The following is a 14,326-nucleotide window of genomic DNA, read 5'->3' as shown; positions in this document are numbered from 1 at the left end:
AAATGCTTTCAAAAGTCTGAAGCAATGGAAATTAAGTCCAAGATGATGAGAAGAGGAGATAATTTGCCTTGGGAGAAGTCAGTGAAGGTGTCAAATGGCAGGTGACTTCTGCACCGAGTCTAAGGAATGAGTATTTGCCAGGCAGAGAACGAAGAGCAAGGACACTGTTGGGAGTGGTGGCTGTACAGCATGTGCAAAGGTGTGTGCAGCCTGTAGGAGCGTGCCAGCCAGGGAACTAGAGGTAGTTCCGAATGGCCAGTGGTGGAAGATGACTGAGGAGAGGCGGCGAGGAACACGGTCATGACAGGCTCCACACGTGCTGTCAGGGAACCCAGGCTCCATCCTGTAGATGTCGAGAAGGCATGAGAATTTCAAACAAGGGAGGGCCCTGGACAGATACATTTTAGAAGGCTTAATCTGGCAGCAATGTGAAGAAGGGACGGGAATGACACCGCTTGGGGGTAAGGGAGGACAGTTAGGAGACTCTGGCAACAACAAAAATGAGAAATGACCAAAGGTTCTGACTACAGCAATGGTATGAAAAAGGCCTATTTGAGAGAAGCATGAAATCTTAAATATGAGGAGCCAGGTAAACAAGGCTCCAAATTCAGTACGAAGGGATTTTTTGTATTAAGATGAAAATTCTAACAGAGACTTGTTTTCACTGCAGCTGGACTTCAGCATCTTACAAGCTTGAATTTATAAAAGTCATGACTAGGACAGATAACCATGTGAGCAAAATTTAGGACATTGAGATATAATATCTGTATTGTTTAGTCACTCAGGAAAAGGCCTCTTGAAATGAATGGCGGTCATAAAATAGGGCACCTTCAGTTACCATTCAGCATACGCTCAAACCATTTCACAAATAACACAGAACTGTTTGAAATACAATTCAAAAGACTCTGGTGTAGCCAAGCCTCTCTTTTTTTTTCCTGCCTAAGCAAATTCAACAAACAAAAGATTTTAAAAGTAAAATCCTTCTTGAGGTAGGCAGTGTAAGACATGTTTAGAGGGGGCAGTAATTGCATATTGATCACCACTTAGGCAAGCAGCATGGAGGTGAACTTTGGAATATTCACTGGGCTTGAGTTCAGGCTTTTAGAAATCAATAGCTGTTTGGCCTGCCTTTCTTGGGTTGACTTTATTTGAAATATTTATTCTACTGGAGGACAAGTAGTTTATCTTAGTCTTGTCTGGGTTCATCAGGCTGTCGATCACGCCAGAACCAATGTGAATGCTAGCCTCTATAAAACTGGGGGGTTGTGGGAAATGGTGGAGAGTCATCCACTGCTCCCTATTCTGCTAACAGTGAGCCTTCTGATGTGGGAGAAAACGTTTTCTGTTGTAGTTTTAATTAGCTTATTCTTCTTTATTATGCAAAAACACTTTTGCTATAAACACAGATTCTGAGTATGATTTTCTTTGTTCATTTGTTCCCTCATCAAATATTTATGAGGTACCTAGCAGGTGCCAGATATTAAGTCCAGGATGCAGAGACAAGGCACAGCTCATTGCTTCCAAGGAGTCTGGTCCACAGGGGAGACAGACATGCAGAGAATGGGCAGACTGAGAAAAGCTAAGTCCTACGGTGGAGGTATATACAAAGCAGAGTGAACGCAGGAAGGAGGGCTGACCATGTCTGAGTCAGGGAGGACTTAAAAAGGAGATGATGCCTGAACCAAGCTGCAGGGGATGTTTTTCTTGGATACGCAAAGAGGGAGAGGGTATTTCATGCAGAAGGAAACAAGAGCACATGCAAAGACAGGCGTTAAGCATGGGACATTTAGGGAAGTGGAGCATGGTACTGCTAGAATATAAAGAGTAAGAAGAGGGGCAGCAGCAAAACAGAAGACAGGCTGACTTTTGTGTATAAGAAAGATTATGCTTGCCACAGTGTGTTGGACAGTAACAGGGATGGGGGAGCAGAAGGAAGAGAGAAACAATATCAGAGGCAGAAAGACTGGTAAGAAAGGCGGGGGTGCGAAGGGTTGAGTTCTGATTGAACCTGAGATGCCTGTGGAACACGGCGTGATGTCCAGCTTGAACTTTTATGTCTGAAGCCCAATAATGAAGTCACCAATAGGGAAAATTTTGAAAGAGTCATCAAATCTATGTGCAGTAATTAATCCATGGTGTGAGTAAGATTACCCTGGGAGGGTACAGAAAGTATTCAGAACAGAAGACTAGGACCTTGAAGGAAACTTATTTGAAGGACAAATGAAAGAGGTAAAACCCTCTCCTTTCCTGGACAAGGGAGACTGATTAAAAAAAAAAAAAAAAAAGCAACAAGGTGTTCTTTAAAATATTCTGTGAACCATAAACTAATCGTGGCAAGAAATACAGATAATGCCACATGAGATCATATTTTCTTTGCTTTACAACGTGCATGATGAAGTTCACTTACATTAGAGTCTGAAATACAAGATCACTTTACAGGATTCAGGATTTCTATGAATTAGACAGTAAGATCAATAGGACCACAGCCAGAGGGTGGGGTGGGTGGAAAAAGAAAAACAGAAACAAAAAATAAATAAATAATAAATACGACCACAGGCAATTTCAAGTTACTAATATGGTATCACTAAATGCAGTGATAGGAAGAGATGTGCACCATCAGCTCTCATGAACCTACATGAGCCGGCTCCAACACATCACTACCCATATCACCCCCACCGCCCGCCACAGACTTCACACTTGGCCATGTGACTGTGCACAGCCAATAAACCGTGAATGTAAGTAACATGTGCACTTCAGAGGAGAAGTTTTAAGATTTATTGCATTATGCGGTCTCTTCCCTCTACCATGAGACAGGCATGTACCATGAAGCACTGCTCCTTCAGCCTGAGTCCTGAAATAAAGAAGGTGTAGAGCTGAGCTTCTGACGGCCAGTGATGAATGAACCATGAGTGAAAAATAAACACCTGTCATTGAAAGTCCTTGAAATTTTGGGCTTCTTATTCCAACAAATAACCATGTTATGACTGAGGCCTGATATGTGATAGAGCAAAGTTGCTAAATATAAGATCAATATACAAGTTAATTGCATTACTACCCACCAGGAATAAAGAATAAGAAAATGTAGCTTAAAAAGTGTCATATACTGCTGGACTTCCACTCTGGGCCAAAATGGGGTAACAAGGACTGGATTTACACCCTCCCTAACCCTGAAAGTTAAAAAAAAAAAAAAAAAGATGAACAAAACAATGGTTTTTAGACACTTGACATCAGGAGGGTAACACATGCAATGAGCCCAACTGACTGCCTGGAAAGTTTCCAGGCCTCAGAGAAGGGAGGAGACAGAGCTAGGAGTCCGGCAGAGCAATGCAGCTAGAGTTCACAGCAGAGAGCTGCACGGAGATCTGCAGAGGGCCCCTTCCAGTCTCCAGAACTGACAAGCGCAAGCATGTGAGGAAACTAATCACTACTGCAGAGAGAAGCTGCCTAAGAGAAGTAAGAAAAGACAATCCCAGAGCTCACGGAGGGCCAGGAATAGTTTGTATTCCCACCAGTTACAGTAGAAAAGTCTTATTAATTCACAGTGCACCTGGCGGAGTAGTAAGATGAGTAGTGCTTCAGTAGCGAGGCATTATTAGCCATAGACTAATCTGGTCCTGCCTAACAGAGCTTAAAAGTAAGTCTCAAAAGGACCAAACTATTTCCAAGTAACTTTGTATCTTAGAACAAAGCTCCAGAACATTTACAGAAATACCCTTCCAAAAAAAAAAAAAAAAATTCAACATCTAACAAGGTAAAATTCACAATATTTGAATTTCCATAAAAAATTACTAGGGATTCAAAGAAGGAACATGTGACCCACAGAGAGGAGAAAAAAAATCATCAGTAAAAATAACACAGGTGACAGAATTAGAAGACAAAGACAGTAAAAGCATAATTATAACTACAATTGATACGTAAAATGAAGAAAGTCGAGAAAAGCATCAGCATGTTAACTAAAAACATAGAAGAAAAGACCAAACTGAGCAGCTACAGAGGAAAAATACAGTAGATGAGATTAACACTGCAGAAGAAACGAAAGACTGAGCTTGAGGACATAATGACAGAAACTGTCCAAAATAAAACACAAAGGAAAAAGAATACAGGAAAAAATGAACACATCATCAGTGAACTGTGGTTGGAAAATTTCAAATAGCCTAATATACATGGAATCATATTTTATAATACACAATTTATAATTATATCATATACATACCATTATACTCCCTTAAAGGTGGATGGGGGCAGGAAAAATGTTTGAAAACTATAACTGTCCAACTGGGCAACATGGCAAAACTGTATTTCTACTAAAAATATTTTTTTTAAATTAGCTGGGCACAGTGGTGCATGCCTGTGTAGTCCCAGCTACTTGGAAGGCTGAGGTGGGAGGATCATTTGCACCCAAGAGGTAGAGGAGGAGGCAGAGGCTTCAGTGAGCTGAGACTGCATCACTGCATGCCAGCCTGGGCAACAGAGAGGGACCTTGTCTCAAAAAAAAAAAAAAAAATTATAACTGAAAAATTTCCACCTGTGATGAAAACTATAAACCCAGAGACCCAAGTAGCTCAACGAACCTCAAACACCAGAGACGTGAAAAAAACTACATAAACTCAAAACCAATGAAAAAGAGAATATCCTAAAGACAGCCAGAAAAAAGGGACAAATTACAAATAGAGTAACACATATATGAATGATGGGAGACTTCTCATCAAAAACCAAGAAAGCCAGATGCCAGTGGAGCAACTAAGAGTACCGAAAGGAAAAAAACAAAAAAACTCCCAGAAAAACCCTATCAACTTAGAAAGCTATACCTGGTGAAAATATATTTCAAAGATGAAGGCAGTCAGGCACGGTGGCTCACGCCTGTAATCCCAGCACTTTGGGAGACTGAGGCAGGAAGATCACTTGAGGCCAGGAGTTCAAGACCGCCCTGGCCAACATGGTGAGACCCCGTCTCTACTTAAAGTAGAAAAAAAAAAAAAATTAGCCAGGTGTCGTGGTGGGTACCTGTAATCCCAGCTACTCAAGAAGTTGAGGTAGAAGAATCGCTTGAACCTGGGAGGAAGAGGTTGTAGTGAGCCAAGATCGCACCACTGCACTCCAGCTTGAGTGACAGAGCGAGACTATCTCAAAAAAACACAAACAAAAAGCAAAAACAAATAGCCAGGGGTGGTGGTGCATGCCTGTAATCCCAGCTACTCAGGAGGCTGAGGCCCAGGAATCGCTTGAACCCAGGAGGTGGAGGTTGCAGTGAGCTGAGATTGTGCCACTGCACTCCAGCCTGGGTGACAGAGCAAGACTGTGTCTCAAAAGAAAAGAAAAGAAAAAGATGAAGGCAAATATTTTTTTAGTCATATACAGCTCACAGAAGTCATCACCAGTAGACCAGCATTACCAGAGATGTTAAAGGAAGTCATTTAGGCAGAAGGAAACTGACCCCGGATGGAAATCTGGATCTACACAAAGGAATGAAGAGCAAGGAAAATGGCAAATAAGTGGGTGAATATAAAAGACTTTTTCTCTTTATTTTCAAAAATCTCTTTTAAAAAGATAACTGACCACTTGGCCGGGTGCGGTGGCTCATGCCTATAATCCCAGCAGTTTGGGAGGCCAAGGCAGGTGGATCACAAGGTCAGGAGTTCAAGACCAGCCTGGCCAACATGGTGAAACCCCGTCTCTACTAAAAATACAAAAATTAGCTGGGCGTGGTGGCACATGCCTGTAGTCCCAGCTACTCGGGAGGCTGAGGCAGGAGAATTGCTTGAACCCTGAAGGCAGAGGTTGCAGTGCGCTGAGATCACGCCACTGCACTCCAGCCTGGGCAACAGAGTGAGACTCTGTCTCAAAGAAAAAGAAAAAAAAGATAACTGACCACTTGACCACTTAAACAAAAACAACAATGTATAACAGGGCTAATAACATTTTGAAATAAAAATGTATGACAATAGAAGCATAAAAACCTGGAGAGAGAAATAGAAGTTCACTCCTATAAGGTTTTACCCCACAGGTGTGTGCATGCACTTCTGGTGCCTCTTTTTGGATTAGGGTCCCACTCTTACGGCCTCATTTAACCTTAATTACCTTCTTAAAGGCCCTATCTCCAAATTCAACAAATGAATTTTGGTGGGGAGAGGGTCACAGTTTAGTTCATAACAGAAGGTAAAAGATACCATGCGTTAGCACTAATTAAGAGAAAGTTGTAGTGGCTATATTAATATAAAACAAAGTAGATTTCAGATCAAAGAACATTACCAGGGATAAAGAAAGTTATTTTCATAATAATAAAAGGGTCGATTAAACAAAAGAACATATAATTCTATAAGTTTAAGCAGCTAAAAGAACTCAAAATATATGAAGCAAAAGCTGATAGAACTGAAAGGAAAAATAGACATATCCCGAATTACAGTCAGAGGTTTCAATATTCTTCTCTCAATAATCGATAGAATAAGACAGGAAATCTGTACAAATATAGACGATTTGAACAACATGATCAGCAACTTAACCTATTTGACATTTATAAAGCATTCCACCCAACAACAGCAAATACATATTCAAGTATACAATATTTAGCAACATAAGAATGTATTCTGGGCCAAAAACAAGTCTTAATAAATTTTGAAAGGCTGAAATCAAAGTATGTTCTCTGACCACAATGAATGGTATGAAAGTAGAAATCAGTAACAGAAAGATACTCAGAAAATTCCCAAATACTTGGAAACTAAACAACATACTTCTAAATAACTCATTGGTCAAAGATGAATCAGAAAAGAAATTAATATTTTGAATTGAATAAAGATAAAAATACAGCATATCAAAATCTATATGACACAGCTAAAGTAGCAATTAGAGGGAAATTTATAGCAGTAAACACCTACAGGTTGAGTATCCCTTAGGGGTATCCCTTAGGGGTATCCTTTGAGTATCCCTTCGAAATGCTTGGAACAAGTAGTGTTCCAAATTTTGATTTTTTTTCCAGTTTTGCAATATTTGCATTATACTGGTTGAGCATCCCTAATCAGAAAATCTAAAATTCAAAATGCTCCAACGAGCATTTCCTTTGAAGATCATGTTGATGTTCAAAAAGTTTCAGATTTTGGAGCAGTTTGTAGGAAAAAGAATAGCAAATTAAACACTGAGTAATGTAAAGAAAATAAATAATGAAGATTAAAAGCCCAGCATCATGGTGCATTCCTACAGTCCCAGCTACTTAGGAGGCTGAGGCAGGAGGATCTTTTGAGTCCGGGAGTTAGAGGTCAGCCTGGGCAATGTAGCGAGAACTGATCTCAAACACACACACACAAATACACGCACAAACACACAGAGAGAAAGAGAGGGAAAAAAAATACTGACCAGAGCAGAAATCACTGAAATCGGAAACAGAAAAACAATGAAAACAAAAACTGATATTTTGAGATCAATAAAACTGATAAGCCTCTAGCCACACTGATCAGAGAAAAATAGGCACAGATTACTAACATCAAAAATAAGAGCACATCAAATACAGATTCTACTGATTTTAAAAGGATAATAAGAGAATATTTATGAACATCTTTTTGCCAGTAAGTTTGACAACAGACAAAATGAATAAATATCTTCAATGACACCAACAGAAAAAGACTACTGGAACAAATAAAAAATTATACTCCATCAAAACTGAAAAATTTTCAAAAGAGTGTTATGAAAAGCAAGACATGAACTGGGAGAAAATATCTGTAAGATGTGTAGGTCTTACATGATATAAATCAGTGTTCCCCAACCGTTTTGGCACCAGGGACCAGTTTAGTGGAAGATAGTTTTTCCACGGGGCAGGGGATGATTTCAGGATGAAACTGTTCCATCTCAGATCATAAGGCATTAGATTCTCATAAGGGGTGCACAACTTAGATCGCTCGCACGCGCAGTTCACAATGGGATCTGCACTCCTATGAGAATCTAATGCCACTGCTGACCTTATAGGAGGCAGAGCTCAGGCAGTAATGCTCACTCACCTGCCGCTCACCTTCTGCTGTGCATTCTGGGGCTGAGGGGGTAACCTCTGATATAAACCATATAATATATAAAGAACTATTAAAATTCAATAAGACAAATAACCCCTTACCCCCAAAATGGACAAAAGATTTGAAGAGATATCACCAAAAAAGATATATGGATGGCAAATTTGGACATGAAGGACACCTGACATCATTAGTCATGAGGGAAAAGCAAATTAAAACTATGGCTAAGACAAAAAAGACTGACTATACTGCTCCATGTGCAGCAACTGGAACTCTCACACACTGCTGTGGAATTTTAAAATGCTATAACCATTTTGTAAACAGTATGGCAGTGCCTTAAAAAGTTAACTGTATACCTAACATATGACCCAGCAATTTAACTAAGTATTTACCTAAGAGCAATTTACAATGTCTGCCCAAAGATTTGCACATGAAAGCTCACTGCAGAATTATTCATAAGAGCAAAAAACTGAAAACCCAAATATCCTTCAACAAGTGAATAAACAAACTGCAATATATCCATATAATGGAGTGCTACTCAGCAGTGAAAAAGGAACTAATTATTGATACACAACATGGACGAATCTCAAAATAATTACAGTGAGTGAAATAGGTCAGACCAAAAAAAGGAACACACTGTATGACTCCATTTACATAAAATTCTAGAAAATGCAAACTAATACATAATGGACAGAAGGCAAATCAATGGTTGCCTGAAGACACTGAGGTAGGGGGAGAGAATTACAAAGGGGCACAAAGAAACATTTGGGTGTGACAAATATGTTCACTGTCATGCTTGCAGTGGGGGTATGATGGGTCTATACATATTGCAAAATTCGCCAAATTGTATACTTTAAATATGTGCGATTTAAACTACACTGGAATGATGAATAGCTATGAGGTCTGATGGCAGGGCTCAGACAGGCCTTACACCACTTCCTGCCCGGTAATCTTGATTCAGTTTATCTACCTTCTTTGCCACAGCACTTTCCCATTTATTAAAAGGTAACGCCAGCCTGGAGGACTGTTGGAAGGATTACTTTGTGTTTTGGAGTATTTTTCTGGTTCCTAGAGAACAGGTGCAAACTACCACTATCCATCTAAGGGAGAATGGTAATATTAAACTTGAAGAGGAAAGAGAATGCTCCTTGTTAGACAAACAAGCAAGATCTGCATGTGCAGCTTGGAACACAACCTGTATACGGCCCCATCAAGAAGCACAGCTGACTTCTAAAAGATTTCCATTATAATTTTGCTTTTGCACTTGAATCCTGGGAGACTGGAGGTTAGAAGAAAAGACTCTAGTTCTTAAAAAATGTAAAGGATGACAAGAATAAAATGCCATATTGTTTGGACCTTCCGATGTTCATTAGGAACAAAAGCAAAGTAGAGTAAGGAAAAGAACAAGGGAATAAAAATCCAAAGTTCCCCAGGCTGGCCTATCTATATGCTTTGCCACAAGCTCACAGTCCAGAATTGGGCCTGCGAAAACTTACTCTGCACATATTATACCATTGCCATTTTATTTGTTTTCTTTATCAGAGACATTTTTCTTTAGGGTAAGGAAAATCTTATTGAAAACCTTAGAACAACAACAACAACAAAAACTGGTGGTTCCTGGAACAGATGTGGCTGTGTATCCTCCTATTTCTCTTTTTGCCTTTACAGTTAATAACCAAGATGGGTTCACTGTATTTATGCTACATAACCCAAAGCTGCATTTGTACACATCCCCTGGGATCACAGTGGTCTCTTCTCTTTCTAACTGGAACAGGGTTTTACAGCAGAAGTAATAAGCTTCATGTCAACATTTTCAAGGAAACTGACAATATAATTCTTTTGTCTCCCACTGGCTCTGTTGCTCCTTACAGAACATTGAAGTATTCTGATACAAGGACATACTGTTAAAAAGTGCTTTGTGGTGGCAAGAAGCAAATGATTTAGAGTGCAGGCTATAATTAAACCTGATATATTGGAATCTTCTATTTGTAGCAACCATCTTACCAAAGAGAGGTATCTGTAACAAAGAAACGGAAGTGGCAAACCAGTCTCCCTCCAGGGACAATGAGGGCACTGTTACAGTTCCATCCTCATTTCCTGACTAATTCTAAAATGGCCACCCCAGGTAAGTATAATTTTGTCTTATTTTTGTGGATTGGAACCTCTGAATCTGATCACTTTGTTAAACAGCACAATAAATTGTGACTTTTCTGAATTTTATTTTACTCTCAAACATCACAGACTACAAAACTACCACTTCATTCATGTTCATATGTTAATTCTTCTGCTGCTCACCAAAGACCATCCAAACATCCTTACTGTAACCTAACTGTTGACTATCCAACTGAAAGAAGCAGGCTGAGCTGCCCGATGCACAAAGGAGCATTTCCTTCTACATCAGAGACTCTGGTCCTCTCCGCCTTTCAGTACACAGTTGTCCACTGCTTGAGAGGTTCTGCGTCTTCCACCCTTACCTCATCTTTTCTTTTCATTTATCAAGACACTAATGTGAGCAAATGAGAAATTCCTTTTCTTTTTTTTTGGTTCCTGTACTCTAGGATGGCTACCCGCTGCTTTCTTCACAGCACGAGTTCCACTTTTAAACATCACCTCAACAATCTTTTCTTCTTTTCCAAGATGTCTTCATCTGTCCTTTGGCAAAGAGAGAAAAACAAGAAAGCTTTTCTTCTTATTGATTCTGTCAAGCACTGTGAAATCCAGACAGTTTGAACACAGGAATGGAGAAAAGTCACCTGTGTGACAGGGAAAACTAGAGGAGAGAGGGCTGTGAGGTAAGGGCGAGTAGGTAATAGTGCTTCACAAACAGCTCCTGGAAATGAAAGCTCAGAGACTACAAATCTGCATGAAGGACTTCTTAGAACCTTGAGAAGAAAGGTGATAAGAACTGAAAACCTAATATAATCCTAAATACCTGGGAGGATAACGGAAGAAGAGAGTTGAAAGGCAAAGGAGAATAAGCTCATTTGGGGAGCTTATGCAGCTTCTGTTCTGAAGCCCAGCATGGGCACAGGCCAAACAGGGCAGGAGCCCAGGACTCGAGTGGACTCCTAGCCTCCCCTGAGCCTCAAGATCAGGATTACAACACACTATGGCCCCGTTTTGTGCTTTCCATGCACTGAAAAATTTGACAGGGAAAACAGAACTAAATATGTTCAGGCAAGAGACTGAGTTCTCGGCAACAGGCTTTTTAACTCCTCTTCCTTTGGGTCTATGAACACGGTTTGCCAAAAATTCCGTGGGCCAATGATCCTAAACAGCAAAATGTTTCTCATTAATTTAGAAAATTAAGAAACCAAACACAGAAAACCAAAGGTGTATCTTTTGCTAGATACTGGAGATACAGAGGAAGAAGACTCTGTCTCTACTCTGAAAAGTATTACAGTACAATTGAAGACACAGCCGTACAACTTACCATGCATGGTGCAGAAAGTGCTCTGACAGAGGCAGCAAAGGATGCTAGCACCCAACCTTCAAAACTTAGGGGTGGGGATGTGAGGACAGACGTGGGGGAAGAGACATGGAAGAAAATGGCTGCTTAGAGAAGTTTAAGCCTAAACATCAAAAGTGAGTCATCAAAATAATAATAATAACAAAATGTGTCAAGGGATCTAAAATAGTTTGGTTTAGAGAGTGGAATGTAAATGTGCAGAAAGGAAAGAATGAAAGAGATGGCAGTAGGAGGATGAGGCAGAGGCCAGATCTTGAGGGGACTAGAAACAATTTCAAACGTTCATAGACAAAGAAATAAAGCCACATTTCTAAAAAACTAAAGGTAATCACTAATAGAAAGAATAGTATTTTCCAAATCTCCAAAGAAGAAGGAAAATAATGGAAGTGAAAAAAAGATAAGACAAAACAATAAAACAACCAAGGAAACCATAAAACAAACAGGAAAAGGGCTAAACGTAATTACTATAAAATCAAATAGTTAAATTCATCTACTGAAAGACAAACTTTCACGCTGGATTAAAAAACACAGTTATGGGCCGGGCGCGGTGGCTCACGCCTGTAATCCCAGCACTTTGGGAGGCCAAGGCGTGCGGATCACGAGGTCAGGAGATCGAGACCATCCCGGCTAAAACGGTGAAACCCCGTCTCTACTAAAAATACAAAAAATTAGCCGGGCGTAGTGGCGGGCGCCTGTAGTCCCAGCTACTTGGGAGGCTGAGGCAGGAGAATGGCGTGAACCCGGGAGGCGGAGCTTGCAGTGAGCCGAGATCCCGCCACTGCACTCCAGCCTGGGCGACAGAGCGAGACTCCGTCTCAAAAAAAAAAAAAAAAAAACACACAGTTATGTGTCTTTAACAAGAGTTACACGTAACACAAAATGACATAAAAAGTAAAGGTGTGTGGTAGCAGGTGCCTATAATCTCAGCTACTTGGAAGGATCATCATATCCCAAGACTTCAACGCTGCAGTGCACTGTGATTGCCTCCTGTGAACAGCCACTGCACTTCAGCCTGGGCAACATAGTGGAATCCTGTCTCTTAAAAAAAAAAAAAATGCTAAGGATATAGGAAGGATCAGAAGAAACAGAAAAAAAAAAATCCACAACCATAGTTAGAGACTAAACAAATTAGGGGATAAAAAGGACAGAAAAGAACGGAATATGTTTACAAAGTTGATTTATGTTATAATTATAGTACTTTATACCCTAGAAACACAAATTCTATTCAAATGTTCACGGAATATTTATAAAAACTACCCAAGTATAAGGCCACAAACAAAATCTCAAATTCAGAAATGTATTTTATAGCCTCTATTTTCTGTTAATGTAATAGGAAAATAAGACTTAATCACTTGGGAATAGAGAATAAAACTAAGCAATATTAAAAGGAGATTTTTTAACCTGAAATGTTTTTATTTTTAAATAAGAGAATTATTTTTTAAAGCATTAAGCGTTTAACTCACAAACTTGGAAAAAGGGCAACAGAATAAACAAAAAAGTAGAAAAAAAGAATTAAAGGCGGGGGAAAGGTATACAAATATACAAAATGCTACAAGCATTGTAGACCATATATATACAAATACACATATGCATATTTATATCACACATATATGCATATATATATATATGTACACACATACATATGCATATTTATATCAAAACCAAGAGTTGGTTCTCTAAAAAAAGATGCCCTCCAAAAAAAACAAATCCAATTGGTGCCAGCTCAGTCGCAATAGAGTAAAGCATCAGGTAGATTTCTAAGGTTCCCAAGTCCAGGCTCTGGCTCTCAGATGGCATCTGTAGAGCTGCCTGGGGCTGGGGGGAACTTGCTGTCCTGAAGGGAAGGACACAAGCCTGGCTGGACTTGCCACCTGTTGACTGTAGAGCCTTTGGGCCATGAATGAACACAGGCAGCAGCCAGGCAGTGGTCAATGTGAGCCTTGGGTGAAACCAAGTGCTGTGCTGGCTTCAGGAATGACCCAGCACAGTCCCAGTGGTGGCCACAGTGGTGCTTGCTTGTCTCACCCCTCCCCCAGCACCAGGCAGCTCAGCACAGAGAGAGAGAGAGACTCCACGTGTTTGGGGAAAAGTCAGGGAAGAGAACAAGAGTTTCTGCCTAGTAATCCAGGGAATTCTCTTCGATTTTACCCAACACCACCAAGGTGGTACCTCTACAAGTCTACAAGAGCCAGAGTGTTACTGAGCTTGGGATGCCCCCTAATGCAGACACAGCTGCTGTGACCAAAGACTTAAATCACAACACCCAAGACTCTCTAAATACCTGGAAAGCCTTCCCAAGAAGGATGAATACAAACAAGCCCAGACTGCAAAGACTACAATAAATACCTAACTCTTCAATGCCCAGACACCGACAAAGATCCATAAGCATCAAGACCGTCCAAGAAAACATGACCTCAACAAATGAACTAAGTAAGAGACCAGTGACAATGCCAGCAAGACAGAGATATGTGAGCTTTCAGATAAAAAATTCAAAATAGCGTTTTGAGGAAGCTTTATGAAATTTGAGATAACACAGAAGGAACGCAAAATCCTATTACATTTTACGGATATTGAAATAGTTAAAATGAATCAAGCAGAAAAATGCAACATACTGAAGAATGCATCAGAGTCTCTTAACAGCAGAACTGATAAAGGAGAAGAAAGAATTAGTAAGCTTGAAGACAGGCTATTTGAAAATACAGTCAAAGACAAAAGAAAAAAAGAATAAGAAAGAACGAAGCACACCTACAAGATCTAGACAATAGCCTCAAAAGGGCAAATCAAATAGTTACTGGCCTTAAAGAGGAGATAGAGATATTGGGGTAGAAAGTCTTTTCCAAGGGATAATCAGAGAGAACTTCCCAAA

General features: G+C 40.0%; 1 protein-coding gene across 4 annotated transcripts in view, besides 3 other annotated features; it reads right to left on the bottom strand.

Annotated features, from left to right (window-relative positions):
• CTNNBL1 (catenin beta like 1) overlaps positions 1-14,326 on the bottom strand; it is a 178,089-nt gene that overhangs the window by 72,479 nt on the left and 91,284 nt on the right. The gene's annotated exons all lie outside the window — the stretch shown is intronic.
• Positions 9,981-11,180: an enhancer, noted in NCBI's record as "MED14-independent group 3 enhancer chr20:36416862-36418061 (GRCh37/hg19 assembly coordinates)". NCBI's record gives its function as "activates an origin of replication core promoter dependent on BRD2, BRD4, P300/CBP and CDK7 cofactors, and independent of MED14, by STARR-seq in HCT116 cells {active_cell/tissue: HCT116}" and the evidence as "EXISTENCE:reporter gene assay evidence [ECO:0000049][PMID:35650434]".
• Positions 12,896-13,395: an enhancer, noted in NCBI's record as "H3K4me1 hESC enhancer chr20:36414647-36415146 (GRCh37/hg19 assembly coordinates)". NCBI's record gives its function as "activates a minimal SCP1, AML or CMV promoter by ChIP-STARR-seq in naive H9 embryonic stem cells {active_cell/tissue: H9 hESC(naive)}" and the evidence as "EXISTENCE:reporter gene assay evidence [ECO:0000049][PMID:30033119]".
• Positions 13,396-13,897: an enhancer, noted in NCBI's record as "H3K4me1 hESC enhancer chr20:36414145-36414646 (GRCh37/hg19 assembly coordinates)". NCBI's record gives its function as "activates a minimal SCP1, AML or CMV promoter by ChIP-STARR-seq in naive H9 embryonic stem cells {active_cell/tissue: H9 hESC(naive)}" and the evidence as "EXISTENCE:reporter gene assay evidence [ECO:0000049][PMID:30033119]".

This window comes from Homo sapiens, chromosome 20 (genome assembly GCF_000001405.40).
Source record: "Homo sapiens chromosome 20, GRCh38.p14 Primary Assembly".
Classification (NCBI taxonomy): domain Eukaryota; kingdom Metazoa; phylum Chordata; class Mammalia; order Primates; family Hominidae; genus Homo; species Homo sapiens.
Note: the sequence above shows the minus strand (reverse complement) of the source record. Positions and strands in the feature narration are given on the sequence as shown.